Source organism: Homo sapiens, chromosome 5 (genome assembly GCF_000001405.40).
Source record: "Homo sapiens chromosome 5, GRCh38.p14 Primary Assembly".
Lineage (NCBI taxonomy): Eukaryota > Metazoa > Chordata > Mammalia > Primates > Hominidae > Homo > Homo sapiens.
This window is the reverse complement of record NC_000005.10, coordinates 122,689,369-122,706,380: the sequence shown is the minus strand read 5'-3', so window position 1 is coordinate 122,706,380 and position 17,012 is coordinate 122,689,369. Positions and strand designations below refer to the sequence as shown.

Genomic DNA, 17,012 nt, shown 5'->3' with positions numbered 1-17,012 from the left:
TACTAGGCATATTTAAAAATCATGTCGAACATCTATGACAGAACATGAAAAGGGTAGATTATAGAAGAAAGCTGTGGCCAGTGCTGTTAATTGCCTACCCAATAGTTATTCTTTCCTTTCCCCTCACTTATAGAGCCATCATTTGTTCAGGGCAGCCCCAGGAGATGCATAGCAACTGTTGGAGGTGGAAGGACATACACAGATTGTATACAACAAAATTGTCCTAACCATTTGCCCTTGTCCTGGATCTAAGATAATGATAGTCATTCCATTCCCCTTTGCTTGCAGATAGCGGTGGCCATGTGACACTGCTCTGGCAATGAGACATAGGGTGAGGTATTTGGGGCCTCTGGGAAAGCCTAAGGATGAAAAGCTAATGTACTGAGGATAATAGAAGAAAGATATAGAGTCTGCATTCTTGATAATACCCCTGAGCCACTGAACCAAGCCAGAACAACCTCTGGAAGAACTGCTTGTTATATGAGAAAAATAAACCACTCTTTGTTTCAGCCAGCCTTACTGAGTATTTATTACTTGCAGCCAAAACCCTTTTTTAACAGATACATAAGTGTACCAATTATTTAGGAGGAAAATACTTGCCCAACTGTCTAAATAGAGCAGCTATTATCTATTAATATTGATGTTGTTACTCCCAGATTTTTCTGTATGTGTCATGGTACGTAAAATTAGGTTCATCCCATATCGACATACAGTGGGCAGCTGGGGAGCTGAGACTTCTAATAGTGTATCTGGCATTGCTATGTTGTAAGTGGAGAAAGCAAGTCAATATGAAGTAATTTTGTCATAAGGTCAGAATCATTTGAGTAATCTTCCTTTTTTATTATAAGTAAGGCAGGATATTTACATTGCTCTACCCAAAGTTTGTAACAACACATTTTTTTCTGTCTTAGGATGTCTCTCCATCCTGACAATTCCAGAATGCAGAGCATGTGGAGTGAGTGTACTGCTTTGCTAAGAGTTCCAGACATTCTCTGACAGGGGAGTTATCAAGGCCCCAACTTTTTTTCCTGAGACTCAAGTTAGGGAAATCTGTTGGGATGGACTGAGGTAGCTCAGACCAAAGCCCAGTTGTAAGGAAAGGTAACAAAGCCAGTGGAATAAACTGACTAGATGCTTAAAATTGGCAGAAGCAATGCCTGAGGCCAGAATTAAGAAGAAAACAAAGGGGGATGGTGGTAGAACCTGACCTTCCCAGTCCTCCTGGGAGCTCATGTATACCTGGGGCAATAGCTGTGTAAATGAATCAAAATTTCTGTAACCTTGAGAACCCTGGCCAGGTTGGTGTGGAGCCATTTTGATCTGAAAAAACACTAAAGAATGAGTATTTCTTCTCAAGAACGAACACCACAAAGGTAGGAGTCTTACAAAGGGAATCTACCGAGTGACTCCCTTTGTGGATTGTTAAAATGCTTTTCTATCCATATAGGCCTAAAGTTTTTGATATAAGTTCATCTGCTAGCTAGTTATAAGACTTTGGATAATTTGATGAACTACTCTGGGTCTCTTTTTCTTCAAGCGTAAAATGCTGACTCACTAAAGTTTCTCCTGAAGTTTTGAAATGAGGAATGAGATACATTTAATGTATGATTTTTTTTATTGAAAAGTCTAAAATACAACAGTAAGATTGAGCTGTTAATTTGGTTAGCATACACTAAGTTGCCATTTAGGACTGAATGGCACAGAACTGCAAATGCCTACATTTAATATTTTTAAAAGTTCACAGCATAAACTAGTGTTTAAATTTTGCTTTTGTTTGGTGAGAAATAGCTTGATTTGACATATTCCATACAGCCTATCTTTTAAAAGTATTTACTTTTTTTTTTTAAAGAAGAATCTTTCCTGGTCGTAGATTTATGGTTATCAATTAAATGTTATAGCACAGTTTGTATCTCATTTCATTCATTCCTGTACACACTCCCTCTAGTGGCTCAAGCTACTTATTTACTGAACATTCCAGAGCCACTTAGTTTCTAGCTGTCCTGTACTGATGCTTAAATTTGTTCTCTCATAGCCTTTCCTCATCTATTCAGAACCTCATCTATTCAGAACCTCATCTACTCAGAATTTAAAAACATTATTTAAGAAGAGACAAGGAAAAAAAGATGGAGGGATGATTTTTGTGCCATTTCAGGGTGACAGAAAAGGAAACAAGGTAATCAATAAATTCAGCTGAAATTTATCGATCTGTATCTGTAAAGCACTAAGCTAGATAAAGAGCAGTAGGATGGGCTCTGTCCTCAGGGAGCTGACAGTCTAGGTGGGGCTTTGTTTTGCCTATCATTTTTTCTTCTGTGTGGCATGTAGCTTATGGGCCATTGGGAGAGATGTGGGGCTGGCCTGGTAGGGTTTCACACTGGCACCATGGTCATGGGTTTTTGTAGCTGGCTTCCATCCTCACTAGCATCCTCTGAGATGTTTTTGATCCCAGAGGGTTTCTAGTCCCATGGTCTATGCTGCCCTCCACAGCGGAGTCCTTTCAGCATGCCCATGAGACCCCTGGGGATTTTCTGGCCTTACTCTCAGTATTTCCTTATCCCTCTGGGGAAAGCGGAATGAGGAGCTGGGAAACTTCCTGTTGCTTTACTGTGACACTCTGGGGCCATAAAAAATTTTGTTGGGGGCCTGTGTCATCCTGTGATGGCTTCATTTCCAGTTCACTGCTCTTTGCATATTCAGCCTTGATGGGTTCCATACCTCCTTCCAAAGGGCTCCCATACTTAACTATCTTGCATTTCCCTCTGGATTTTCTTTCAACTCTGAGGACCAAATTGAGGCAAGGGGTGAAGAATCACACAAACTTTCTGCGAAGACTTTTGACTAAAAGACCCAAATTCGTGTCTGTTTCTAGTTCCTTCTTGAAACTTCCCTCTTGCCCCCTTGGAGCAGTGCTAGTGTCAACTCTCATGGCCTGGATAGGAGAGGGTCATAGGAAAAACATATCAGTTACTTCCTTCCTTGTCCCAAGACAATGGATGTTCCAGTAGGAGGGATGTTAGCTTTGTCAAAGCTGCACAAAGGTTAAGAAGAATGAGAGGGGAAAGTGGGAAATGATGTTTCATTTTGAGATTATGAAGCCATCAGAATCCTTAAGAAATGAGTCGCCAGCCACTGGGGATGGAGGAGGAGTGGCAAGAAGGCAGCGGGTATAAGCAGTGGGCAAGGAGAACCACATTTATTGAACACTTATTATGAACTGAGTAAGCATTGTTTTAGGTGCTTGGATGAATTAACTAATTTAGTCATAAAAACAAACCTATTCCCTCCCGCCTATGTTACAGATGAAAAAGCTGAGGCACAGACAGGTTCAGTGATTTGTCCAAGGACACACAGCTGGCAAAGGGAAAGGGAAGCCTGATTCCTGAACCCTACCTGCTGCTGCAGTGTGTGTGGACCTGGTGGCAAAAGATCAGAGTACTAGCTCAAGAGGAGAGAAGAACCCAGAGATGTATTTTAGAATAAGAATACTTGAAGAACTGTAGAGAGTGGAGAAGGAACTGGTGGGGTGGGAACAAAACCTACATTAATAAATATTCATTAACTTACTAACACACAAGAGATAAATAAAAGAAGATATGATAGAAACATCAGGCATGAGACAAGACCAAGGAAGGAAGTAAGCCTGGGTATGGTGTGAAGATGCCTCTCACTCTGAGACAGCTACAAGGACACATTTGAGTGAAGGTGCTGAGCAGCTCTGGGCTTTGAGGAGGGTGTCGGGACAGCAGAAGAGGGAGGAGGCTAGGAACCACGCATGAGATGGCTGATCTCAATGTTTACTGATCAAATGGGTTGAGAGTGAGAAAACTGAGAATCTTAAGGCTATAAAAGCTTTCTGCAGTAGCTTCTTTAAAAATTTTTAATAATATTTTTATTTCTAGAGAAGGTGTCTCACTATGTTGCCCAGGCTGGATTTGAACTCCTGGGCTTACGTGATCCTCTGGTCTCAGCCTTCTGGGGAGCTGGAGTTATAGGTGCGCGCCACCATGCCTAGCTCTGGAGTAGCTTCTGTGAGAAATGCATTAAGGTGTCAAACAGAAAGCAGGGGAAAAAAATGGCTAAGTCATGTGGAAGTTTTTCTTCTTCTTCTACTATGTCCTAGACACCAAACTACGTATACTATATATACATTGTTTCCTATTAGCCTTGCATAATAAAGATTATTACCCTGATTTAACTGAGGAGGAAAGTGACAAGCAGAGAATTTAAGTAATTTGCTCATGGTTACTCAGCTGGTAAGTGGTGGAACTCATACTCAAATTTAGAGGTTATGACACTCAGGGGACTTTCCAGCCCAGCACAGGCAGCTGTGGCATAAGGCACCAAGAGAAGACACTTGAGGCTGTGAGGATGGATGAGATGGCCAGAGGCAGCCTGTAAGAGGCTGGAGATGAGGGCCTGCCTGTCGCCAGAACCCGGGAGTATCTTCTACCCAACAGCAGAGTAGAATGAGCCTGCAGTAGGCCCCATCAACACACTTTGTGTCTTTCTCATGATCGTCTTGGCAACTTAAGAGCAGAAAAAATAGATAAGAGGCAGCAGAGTTGGGGACTGATGTGGAGACAATGGCTAGGAGGGTAAGGCATCCTGGAGGGGATTCCTGGCAACTTCAAGTCCTCTTGAAGTGTAGTAATGTGTTGTATTACTTCAGGTCAGTTGACATTCAGCACCTGATATGATTTGGCTGTGTCTCCGCCCAAAATCTCATCCTGAATTATAATCCTTATAATCCCCACAATTCCCACGTGTCCAGGGAGAAACAGGTGGAGGTAACTGAATCATGGGAGCAGTTTACCCCTTGCTGTTCTCATGATAGTGAGTTCTTATGAGATCCAGTGTTTTTTATAACTATTTGGTAGTTAGTTCCTTCTGCATTCATTCTCTTTCCTGCCACCTTGTGAGGAAGGTGCTTGCTTCCCCTTTGCCTTCTGCCATGATTGTAAGTTTCCTGAGGCCTTTCCAAGCCATCCTGACCTGTGAGTCGATTAAGCCTCTTTCCTTTATAAATTACCCAGTCTCTGGCAGTTTTTTATAGCAGTGTGAAAACAGATTAATATAGCACCTTTGAACTTTAAACCTTTGGTCCAAATTTTTTCATTGTGTAAAGAAAAGTCTCGATGCTTTTGATTCCTTTCTCTGAATTTTTTCAACCTCCTTTAATATCACACCACAGAGTGGGACAGCATAGGTTTATTAGCCGTGTACATTCTTAGTGGCAAAGTCTGCATCTTTGCCACTAAGTGGTTGGGAGTATGTTTTTCTAAAAATTCTGTTGTTGATGTCTATTTTCTTCTCACGGACATGTAGATGAATAAATTCTCACCCTTTATTTTGCCTTTCTAAACAAAATAAAATATGATATCTGTTCAAAAACATTTAATAAGGAAAAGGAAAAGCCAGTTTGAAAAAAAGGTCAGCAAGATGCAGGAAAATGTGATATTTGCTGAAAGCTCCTGTCAGAAGAGTGTGAATAATGTAGATGAGCCAAGAGAAATAAGATACAATTAAGATGAAATTTATTTCCCCAAGTTTGCAAAAATGTGAGTTTATGAATCCTGAGAGGTAGGAGGCCAAATGAGATCTAATTGTGTCTTATTTAACTTGGCCTTTTGCGTGGATAATCCTTGGCTTTCTCTGCAAATATCACACTTTTGTCAAACTAACCGGACTCCAATATGTTTTTCTTTGTGTAAATGCAAAGTATTTTTTATCATTCAATAGTAACTCAACTAATAAAGTTTTCAACTTTAACTGGAGACTATGCTCTAATGGAAACCATATTATCAGTGGAAAGAGTCCCATTACTTATGATCATATTCTAGTTCAAATAGTTCACACAGCAGGACATCTAAAGAGGCCCAAAAAAATAGTCCAAGAAATATTACTTTTGCAAATATTCACACACTCAATTCAAATATAATGTAAAAATAAGAGACTAGGTTATCCAGATAAATAGATGTTTATGATTAGGAAAGAAAGTTTGAAATATTATCATTCACAAATATCTTCACTAAAGGGATATGAGAGGTGGGCAAAGAGTTGAAGTAAAGAAAAATCCCAAGCAGACATAGCTCTCAAGCTAATTGTCTTAGGGTTTATATTGAAATATATAATATTTGCTGAAGAAGGTATAACTTCCTAATTTTATTTTTTTTATCAGGGTGTCCATGAAATTCTTGAGGCCTTGGCTCAAGGTGACCAAGATTCTAGTCTAAACTGGGCCATCAACTCACAGAGTGCACTTAGGCAAATTGCTTGTTCTCTCTGGACTCCATTCCCTACCTGAAAATGAATGTTTTGAACTAGATGATTGTCAGGTTCTTTTCCAGCTCTAACCACATATAACTTGATTTGAGTTTGAGCCTTGGTGAATAATCTGAAGTTGAGTTAAAGTTGAAAGGAAAATATGGTTTCTTGATGTGTTTAGTTTTGTTCTTTTTTAGCTTTAAAAAATCTTTAGGAGAAGATCATTCCCTTAAGATACCAATGTGTCATGTCCTAGGAGAGCTGGAATTGACCTGGATCCTTGTGGGAAATACTTCAGTGATGGATGGAAGCAGAGGGAGAAAGGACCAAAATGAAGCCAGGAGGGACAAGATGGCTGGAATGTTTGGTTCTGAGGATTCATGATTGTCCTTAACTCACACGGACTGAACTCTCGCTTGCCTGTCTTCCTGGGGCTTGTGTAAGAACATCCTGCAGAAAAGTATTAACAACGCGAGTGATCTTCACTGTGTTTAACGATTCATTGATTGTAAAAGATGTTTTACCTGGGATAACAATGAGTGTGTATTCCTGGAGCCTAAACTCACTGACCTGGAAGGGGGCCCCGAGAAGTGTGCTAAGTGGACAAAGGAAGCCTGGCTAGAGTTTATAGTTTTCTAACTAGATAATTGAGTGAACTAAAAGGTCTTTTATTATCCTTATGTGGATTACGTACTTTGCAGGATATGCATAGTCATTATTAAAACCATGTGTACTCCTGTCTCACTTCTGAGCACCTTCTCTGAAATCAGTCCATATATGCTCAGGAATGCAAACCACACTCATTTCAGAGTCAGTGTCAACAAACATAATTAAGGAGGCAAATTTACTTCATAAGTTTTCTAATGCCTTCTGCATTAAATAGAAATGACTTTTGGCTGCTCCCATCTATTCATGTGTATAATTGTTAAGTTCAGATCTGATTTTCCTGGAAGAACAAGTTTGAATCTCAACAGGCTTGATCTAGTCTCCCATCTCCATGTTCCCCATAGTGACAGGTAATTCATGGAAATTACTGTCTCAGCATTTTAAATAAACCTCCTTTAAGCTGAAATCAAGATGATCTCATATAGAAAAGAGTGTAGGTAAAACTCATATTTAAGAAATGGTACAGAGTGAGCAGAAATTCTCACAGAATTTTTGAGTCAGAAATATTTTTGTTATACGGGAAAAAGGGACTTGCAGTTGTGCTCTTGATTATAAAAAGAAAGGAAATCAAATAGCTTTGAAATGTTCCATTAAAACCTTATTTTAATATATTCTTGCCACAATGTAAGGACCTATGTAAACTAAGTAAAATTTCATGACTCACACTGAGTTGCATTTTGTATCATTTTCTTGTCTTCATTGCTATTTCTTTTCTTTTCTTTTTTTTTTTTTTTTCTCGAGACAGAGTCTCACTTTGTTGCCAGGCTGGAGTGCAGTAGCGTGATCTCAGCTGACTGCAATCTCCACCTCCCAGGTTCAAGCAATTCTCCTGCCTCAGCCTCCCGAGTAGCTGGGATTACAGGCATGTGCCACCATGCCCAGCTAATTTTTGTATTCTTAGTAGAGACGGGGTTTCACCATGTTGGCCAGGCTGGTCTCGAATTCTTGACCTCGTAATCCACCCACATCAGCTTCCCAGAGTGCTAGGAATACAGGCGTGAGCCATGGCGCCTGGCCCCATTGCTATTTCTTAAACCTGGAAATGCCCCTACTTATTTCATGCTACTACAAAAATGTGTCCATAGTACTAATGCTTTCCTGTGGCCAGAGACATTTTAGGTATTTCTAAATACCTAAATATTTCTAATATATTCTAAAATATTCTACCTAATATAGTCTAAAATATTCTTTTAGAAAATATTAATAAATTGATAAAATATGAAAGTGAAACCTATGGCAGTAATTTTTATGAAACAGTATTTTAGGATAATTTAAGAATATTGCATAACTCTCTTAATAGTCATTTATTATTCTTGTTCATTCTATTGTAGGTATAAAAATTCAACGAGTATGTCAATGTCCTTTATATTTTACTTTAAAGGTATTAAAATATTTACAGTTAATTTTTTATTACACAAGCAGGAAATGAATACATTCTTAAGGTAAAAATTAAAACTCTGATGATATAGATACAATCCTTTTTGACTAGCACCTAGAAACTAGGTCTCCTTCCTAGATGATGTTTACACTACTATCTGCTTAGCGTACATCCTCCCAGATCATTATCTGTACATATATAATTCCTGGTAAAATATAGAGTATTTTGAGATATCTTTAATATAACTGGTGTGAAATGGCTGTTATACTATAGCTTGTTTTTCACTTAATATGTCTTGAGGAGTTTTCAGTGTTAGTACATATAATAAACTTAATTATTTTAAACTGTTGCTTGGTACTTTATGATACAGCTGTTACAAAATTTATTTTCCATTCTAATTTTGGTAGATATTTAGGTTGCTTTCATTTTTTTACGATGACAAAGAATTCTGCAATGAATTGTTATATGTCTCTTTACAACTGTGAAGTCTGAGCAGTATCCTAAATGATTTTGCATTCTTCTGTGTAGCTTTGACACCAGCTAATTCTAAGTTCCTTAATGATATAGTTTGGCTGTGTCCCCACCCACATCTCATCTTGAATTGTGGCTCCCATAATTCCCATGTGTTGTGAAAGGGACCCGGTGGGAGATAAATGAATCATAAGAGCAGTTTCCCCTATACTGTTTTTGTGGTAGTGAATAAGTCTCATGAGATCTGATGGTTTTATAGAGTCCTGCCAATGAGATGTAGACAGAAGTCTACTGAGACTGGCTTCTTTTCACCAACAAAAAGACAAAGCCCTTCAAGGAGAAGTCTTTAGGCCTAATTGCCTCATTTTTGCCTGGAACATGGATGTGATTTCTGGAGGCGCACCAGCCACTGCAGGGCCCTGTTCATAAAGGTATGCCAAGGGTGCAGACTAGGGAGAGAGAAAGTTTCTGGTGAGGTTGGTCTTGGTGGCTCCAGCCTGGGCAACAGAACAAGACTCTGTCACACAAAAAAAGAAATTTCTGGTGGACATTGGTACATCCACCCTGAAGAGCTGATTTTTTGTGGTATTTTCTATTATTTGTTACAGAAAGCAATCCGTATATACTGAATATGTTACTTCCCCTTTTCTCTCTTCCTCCTCCCCTCCCTTCCTTCCTTCTTCCCCCACTTCTCTCTTTTTCTTATTTATTTATTTATTTATTTATTTATTTATTTATTTATTTATTTATTTGAGACGCAATCTCACTCTGTCACCCAAGCTGGAGTGCAGTGGCATGGTCTCGGCTCACTGCAACCTCCGCCTCCTGGGTTCAAGTGATTCTCTTGCCTCAGCCTCCTGGGTAGCTGGGATTACAGGCTCTTGCCACCACACATGGCTAATTTTTTTTATTTTTAGTAGAGTCAGGGTTTCACCGTGTTGGCCAGGCTGGTTTCGAACTTCTAATCTCAAGTAATCCTCCTGCCTCGGCCTCCCAAAGTGTTGGGGTTACACGCATGAGCCACCATGCTCAGCCCCTCTTTTGCTTATTTTTTTTGACGTCAGACAAGGCAATGGCAACCTGAGATCAATCCAAAAGTTAATATTTGGTTTTAACTCTGTGCTTAAAATGCAGCAAATATTTCTTTCTTTCTTTCTTTCTTTTTTTTTTTGAGACAGAGTCTCAAGTCTCGCTCTTTCTCCCAGGCTGGAGTGAAGCAGCGAAATCTTGGCTCATGGCAAACTCCACCCCCGGGGTTCAAGTGATTCTCCTGCCTCAGCCTCATGAGTAGCTGGAATTACAGGCGCCCCCCACCATGCCTGGTTAATTTTTGTATTTTTAATAGAGGCGGGGTTTCGCCATGTTGGCCAGGCTGGTCTCTAACTCCTGACCTCAGGTGATCCACCTGCCTTGGCCTCCCAAAGTGCTGGGATTACAGGTGTGAGCCACCGTGCCCAGCCAAAGTGCAGCAAGTATTTCGGCGGGGAGGGGGCAAAGGATGGTAGTGTGGTGGGGGATGAAAGAAACTGCTGCTGTTCTCCTTTTTTTCTTTGCAGGCCCTAGGGATTATAATCCTTATCTCTCCAGCCATCTTCATATAATAATTTTAACAGGGAGGCCAATTATTTACTTTTAAGATCTAGGAATGGAAGTTAAGAAATGAGTTCTAGGCCAGGCGTGGTGGCTCACACCTGTAATTCCAGCATTTCTGGGAGGCTGAGGTGCACAGATCTCCTGAGCTCAAGAGTTTGAGACCAGCCTGGGCGACATGGCAAAAACCCCGTCTCTACAAATAATATAAAAATTAGCTGGCATGATGGTGCGTGTCTGTAGTCCTAGCTACTTGGGAGGCTGAAGCCAGAGGATCACTTGAGTCTGGGAGGTCGAGGCTGCAGTGACCTGAGATTGCACCATTGCATTTTAACCTGGATGACAGAGCGCGACCCTGTTTCAAAAAAAAAAAAAAAAAAAAAAAGAGAGAGAGAGAGAATCCTCCGTCTGGTTGGTAGTGCATCTTTCCTCAAATAGTGAGTAGCTGTTTGGTTACTTTGTGATAAACATGAAAAACAAAAACAACCTCCCCTTCTGAGAGAATTTCTGTCAAATGAGTTCTAAAGGCTTCTTTCTTGGAGGCAGAAATTCTGTATGAGAAGAAGTCATTTGAGTTTGTAGTTAACTTGGTTCCTGTGTGTGTGTGTGTGTTTCTGTTTGTGAAGCTGTACTCATAAACCATGCAAGGACACTGAGGTGAGGATTGAGAGAAAAGAAGCAGCTAGAACTCATGGGGATGGGAGCTGATTCCTCTATGCCTTCAAGGCAGTTATCCTTGTGTGTTTCTGACAAGGAAAACTCCATGCTCCAACAGAAGGGAATGGCACTGTGCCTGGTTTCTCTTCTTTGGTTTACGTGATTAGAGGTTCTCGGTTTCTGGAGATGGAATCTGGACATTCCACTAGACATACTTCTGGGCAGCCATTTTTGTACCTCTCTCTACACTGTGCATTTCCTCTAGGCTATCACAGACCAGTGTTCAGGCTGACAAGCATGCGGGCTGTTTACCTCAAGAGACTGATTGGGTTCTGGACCAAGTGTGTGGTCAGCTACTTGAATGAATACACTCTCATTCTCTGGCTTTTCCTCGTGCTTGTCTTGGTTAAGGAAAATGTCTAAGAAGACACAGTACAGAAAATGCTTTGGTTTTCTCATGCGTAAAAATTCTTTCTTATTTTGCACTTCAGACAACACATATTCATGTTTTTTCTACATAAGTTGTGGATATTGGGACAAAAAGGAAAAAGAAAAAATAGGCCTAAGCAGAATGTAATAATAATGCTAGCAAAATACCAGCACTATTATTTGAGCTTGCAGGTTGTACCCTGCGTAACTCTAGGGTGTGGCATTCACATAGCTTTTCATGTGACCAATGTTCCTTAGAGCTATGCAACCCAGTGGCCCTGCAATCACTTCAATAGCATTTACTATGTGTTATGCACTATACTAAGAATATTGTACCTAATTAATCTTTACCACAATCAGGCTGGGCGCGGTGGCTCACGCCTGTAATCCCAGCACTTTGGGAGGCTGAGGCAGGTGGATCACCTGAGGTTGGGAGTTCAAGACCAGCCTGACCAACATGGAGAAACTCTGTCTTTACTAATAATACAAAATTAGCCAGGCGTGGTGGTGCATGCCTGTAATCCCAGTTACTCGGGAGGCTGAGGCAGAAGAATCGCTTGAATGAGGGGGGTGGAGATTGTGGTGAGCTGAGATTGCACCATCGCACTCTAGCCTGGGCAACAAGAGCAAAACTCCGTCTCAAAACAAAAAAACAAAAAGCTTTACCACAATCCTAATATCCTCATTTTACAAATAAGGTAACTGAGGTGCAATGAAGTACAAGGTCAAAGAAGTGGCAGAACTGAGATTTGAGACCACATTTGGTTTCAGAGTTGGGGCTCATAACCACCACGTCATACTGCCCCTAAACTACTTAGATTAGACCCAGAGAAACATTCTGCACTCACTTATTCATCACTTCAAGATGATTTTTCAGTTGTTCAGGGCATTGTGCTAGGTGCTGGAGTAAAATGGCTCAACAACCTAGTTATGGGCCCAAAATAAGAACATTGCAGGATTGCCTTTTCCTGAGGTTTTGAAGCAGTGTGTTGTCATGAATTTTTGAGGGGACCTCAAGAAAGGAGATGGTCTGGCTGATTGTCAGGGTCCTTCTGAGGCACAGGAGCTATGCTGGGATATGATTCATGAAACACTGAATGCCCCACACTGCAAGCTCTTTCTGTCCTGGATTCCAAATTGAAAAAGCATGACTCTTACCTACTTCCTTGTCCATGTCTTCCTCCTCCTCCTCTTCTAGTAGTGTCTCTCTCTCCTTCTCCTTCTCCCAATTGTCTGTGCCCATGTATTTTCATCTTGTTGCCTGAATGGGAACTCAGAAGAATAACCCGTATCTTCCCTATTAGAGAAATGTGTTAATTCAATCATCTCATTAAATTTATAAGAAACAATGCTAAATGAGATATATAAACATTTTACTTCTAAAGGTAGAGACTCCAGTTGTATTTTATTAGGCAAATTGAATGACCTAAACTCACTTTTTTTATGGTCAAGTAAGTCAGATATGAGCCAAATGAACTCACAGAGGAGGCAGTGTAGGAAAAGAATGGAAACATTTAAAGAGGCAAAAATCCATCTGTAATCACCATGTTCCTTGTGTTATAGTCACAGGCCAAAGAACTTCTCAGTGAACATATTTTTCCCCTTACGTTGATCTATGTTGACAGCCACCCATGGACGCTAATTTCTTAAGGGTAGACTGTGGCTTGAAAGAGGTGGAGGCAACCATGTACTATATTTCACTGAAGCACATTTGCCATGAAAATAACTGTTATTGCTGTTGCCACTCAATGGTCAATGCCTTACAGTATGAAGAGGGGGAGTTACATAAATTATGTTTATACCAGGTTCCTTGAAACTGACAAGGTGGAGGTGGGGGGTGGTGGGGAAACCCAGGTTAAATTATCCCCATGTTCAGTAGTTGTTGTTAGGGGGAAAAAGCTGAAATGGCAGTGCACATCAGGGTGCAAATGTAAGCAATCTTTCACCCAGTCTGTTAATAAAGAGCAAGGTTTTCTTGCTGGTGCCCCAGTAAGCCATGCCTCATAAGCATTGTGGTTTCCAAAATTATTTCAAGTTAGGCACTGCTACAAGTAAAATATGCTGCTGGCTGTGAAATAATGAGAGGGATAATAAATATATAAAACTTGGAATCTCCCAATGAAAAATGAAAGAGATTTTATGAACCCAACCAGTCAACTCAGATGAAAAACCCCCAGTGTGCTCACCATGATTAATGCCCTGGCCTTCCATGGGAGAAGCTCAGATTCAATTTCCTATTCTGATATCTTGTTCTGGAGGCAGCTATAGTTGGGATCATTACAGAGATAGTGAGTTCATCTAGTGCTGGTAAATGTGTGGCTCGAAGGTCCTGGTGGGAGAGATTGAAAGGTCAAAGCTGTGGTGTGTCGGTGTGTACCCAAGAATAATGACCATGTGTCTCTACAGAGCCTGGTGCAAATATTAGAAGGGACACTTAGTGGCAGTAATATTGAACTTTGATATATCAATACAGACTACTCTCGTTAATTATCCTTCTGCTTATCATGACCCTGGGTGGTAGTTGAATGGGTCTTACAAGATCATCTAACAGACGAGGAAACAGAGGCTTAGGGAGTTATGCCTAAGGTCACATGATTGGTAAGTGGTGGGGCCTAGAGGAAAAGCTCGATTCTACTGCCAGTGCAGAGTGCTTTCCATTAATCTCTTTAGTGTTACTGTTTCCCTAACCTGCTGTTAAACACACAAGCACATGCACACACACACTTACACATACACTCTGTGGGGTACTAACAAACCAGGCATCCTGTCTAAATTAATTTATTTCATGAGATCATTTCTCCACACTCCATTTCACATTGCCTGTGGAGACATAAACTTAGTCTTGAGTAAAAGAATGAGGACTTTGGTCCCTAATTTGGCCCTAAATGTCATGCAGAATATGTTTTCTTAACTCAATGTGAGCCCTGGAAGGCTTATTTGCTTGACTTTCAAACGCTGCCACAGCCAGAAGACACATCACGCTAACAGGTTTTACAGGGAAGGCTGAGTTCTGATGGAAAATTTAAGCCCGGGAGGACGTTGCTGCCCAGGAAAGATTTGGGGGATGCCTAAGTTTTAGGAAAAATTCCTCCTCAGCTGGAAATTTTGGCCCATGGGTTCCCAAGCAAGCTTAATTTTGCAGACATTAGATTTTACGAATTACTGTAAGGGTTGGTACAACCTTGTCTCAATTTTTTTAAGTAAAGGAATGTCTCTTAATTAATCATTAAGTTAAAAAATGGAATAAAGCCAGAGGAAAATTACATGTTTGTCTTATTCTAGATAACATTTTAAGTTCTTTGACCTGCTGAGTCCACAGAAACATGTCTGTGACACCAAGAAGTAAAATAAATTGCCGGGTCATCGCACCTTGCCCATATCAGACCTCCTTTCACATTCAATAAATGATGTGTGATTAGAGGTGGGCCATTAACATCCCGAGGGAGGATATTTTAGGAGATCTTTTTCTCTCTCTTCTGAACATTGGGGCTGTAGCTGAGCGCCACAGTATTCTAATCTACCTGTCATCTCATTTCAAGCGGGATGTTCTGATGGCTTCTGAATGTACATTCAGAGGTCTTTGTCTGAAACTAGCTTCCTTGCCATCATTCCCGGTAGCCACTGTGAATTTAATAATATGCTTTGCGATACACAATGGAACACCTTATTCCCACACAGAGGTTCCTGCAGTTTTCACACAGACATGTTTTGAGAAAAAGACTTAAAAGACCCCTTTAAAAAAGCAAATACACGACACGTTAAAGTGACAATAATCATCTTTAGTGTTCCCAAGAATCACCTGACACCTGAAGAGCATGTAAAGGCCCTGACTATGAGCCCCCACCCCCCAATTCATTAGGTCAGTTATAGGCAGAGAATTTGCATTACTTTAGTTTTATGAAATAGAAGACATGTCTTGGAATCTGCAATTTTAACAAGCATCTTGGTGATTCTCATACATTTTAGCCTAAAGATGAAGAATGTTTTTCTTGAAGATAGTTTTTCTCTATTTTAAATCTTTGGATTTGCCCTTGACCATTAACGTCTGTTAATGTTCTAATGAAGAAACTGGAGTGAAAATTAATGCTATCAGAAGAAAAACACTGAATAAGCTTTATTATGAATTAATAGTATGTTTTTAAGTTTAATAACCAGATAAAGTTAATTAGGGATGTAGTCTCTTCTTTTGATATTTCTGATATTAGCAGATCTATAGCCAGAAAGATAACTTTTCTGAAACCCATAAAAATCTTAGAGAAAGGGCCCTAACTTATGTTGGACAAGATCCTCATTTTCTCATGTTATTATTTTCCCACCCAATTATTTCTCTATCAAGAATATAAAATGTTATAAAAAATTGAAAATGGGATTCAGGAGAACTCATCCTTTCATTTTTGCTCATGACTTCCTCTCTTCATTTTGTTGAGGTTGTGGGAGAGCTGCCAAGAAATCCACACTGGTTAACAAATGGCTAATTGACAGTCACCCATCTGTTGATGCGATTTTGGCTGTTTTCAGATAGAGTCAATGGTCATTAAGTTTTGTCTCCCCTCATGGGGGAAAGGTGTGACATACTGATTACCTGTCAGGGTTAGAAAGATTTCTGACTTGTTACTTATGCAGACTAAACAAATCTTTCTTTAGGTTAGTGGCCCTGTCCCACATCTAGTTTCTATCTAAATCCATAAAGTTTAATTATTTTTATAATATCAAGCAAGTATTGCATTTTTTTGTTGTTAGAAAAATGCAGCTGTGCCTGGAGAGGTATTGCAATTTTTAACAGTAGTGGCATATACCTTGTGGTTCATATTTTGAAATATTGCAGAAATAAGTAAATGGCAAGTCATGATTTCCCCTTCTAATTTTAAGCATTTTACTCCGTCTGCATCCTGTGTTTTCTCATATGCCTTTTGATCTCTCTAGTATATAACATACACAAAAGCATTTTCAGGGTGAGAGGGGAAAGATGCAAGAGTGATACTGTAATCTCTTCATGGTTGAGAGCCTTGACTGGATATGGCCCAGAGAGATTAGTTTTGAAGCAAGACACAGTTAGTGACAACCAAGCTTTGAGGCTTTGCATGAACATAACTTTTCCTTTTGGACAGTGTCTCTGTGGCAATGTGGAATATCAGTGTGGCTGTGTGCTCCATTCTTGTTTCACTTCTCTACCTTTTTTTTTTTCTTTTTTTTTTTTTTGAGACAGTCTCACTCTGTTGCCCAGGCTGGAGTGCAGTGGCATGATCTCAGCTCACTGCAACCTCCGCCTCTCAGGTTCAAGGGATTCTCCCGCCTCAGCTTCCCGAGTAGCTAGGATTACAGGCATGCACCATGGTGCCCACCTATTTTTTTGTATTTTTAGTAGAGACCGGGTTTCACCATGTTGGCCAGGCTGGTCTCGAACTCCTCACCTCAAGTTATCTGCCAGCCTCGGCCTCCAAAAGTGCTGGAATTACAGGCGTGAGCCAGTGCGCCCAGCCTCACTACCTTCTTGTACTTAACTAATGACTACTTCTTCTCCTTGTGAAGTTGAAGTTGGCCTCATGTTAAGGCTGTG

At 40.3% G+C, this 17,012-nt stretch overlaps 1 long non-coding RNA gene across 1 annotated transcript in view, besides 2 other annotated features; it reads left to right on the top strand.

Annotated features, from left to right (window-relative positions):
• The window catches only part of LINC02201 (long intergenic non-protein coding RNA 2201), a 101,609-nt gene that overhangs the window by 24,180 nt on the left and 60,417 nt on the right, over window positions 1-17,012 (top strand). The window contains exons 5-8 of the long non-coding RNA NR_109881.1: window positions 912-955; window positions 2,033-2,173; window positions 6,521-6,724; window positions 9,039-9,210. This is a non-coding gene — a long non-coding RNA (long intergenic non-protein coding RNA 2201). The remainder of the gene's footprint in view (window positions 1-911; window positions 956-2,032; window positions 2,174-6,520; window positions 6,725-9,038; window positions 9,211-17,012) is intronic.
• Window positions 4,213-4,662: an enhancer, noted in NCBI's record as "active region_22997". NCBI's record gives its function as "activates an Ori minimal core promoter by ATAC-STARR-seq in GM12878 lymphoblastoid cells {active_cell/tissue: GM12878}" and the evidence as "EXISTENCE:reporter gene assay evidence [ECO:0000049][PMID:35858748]".
• Window positions 12,306-12,405: an enhancer, noted in NCBI's record as "active region_22996". NCBI's record gives its function as "activates an Ori minimal core promoter by ATAC-STARR-seq in GM12878 lymphoblastoid cells {active_cell/tissue: GM12878}" and the evidence as "EXISTENCE:reporter gene assay evidence [ECO:0000049][PMID:35858748]".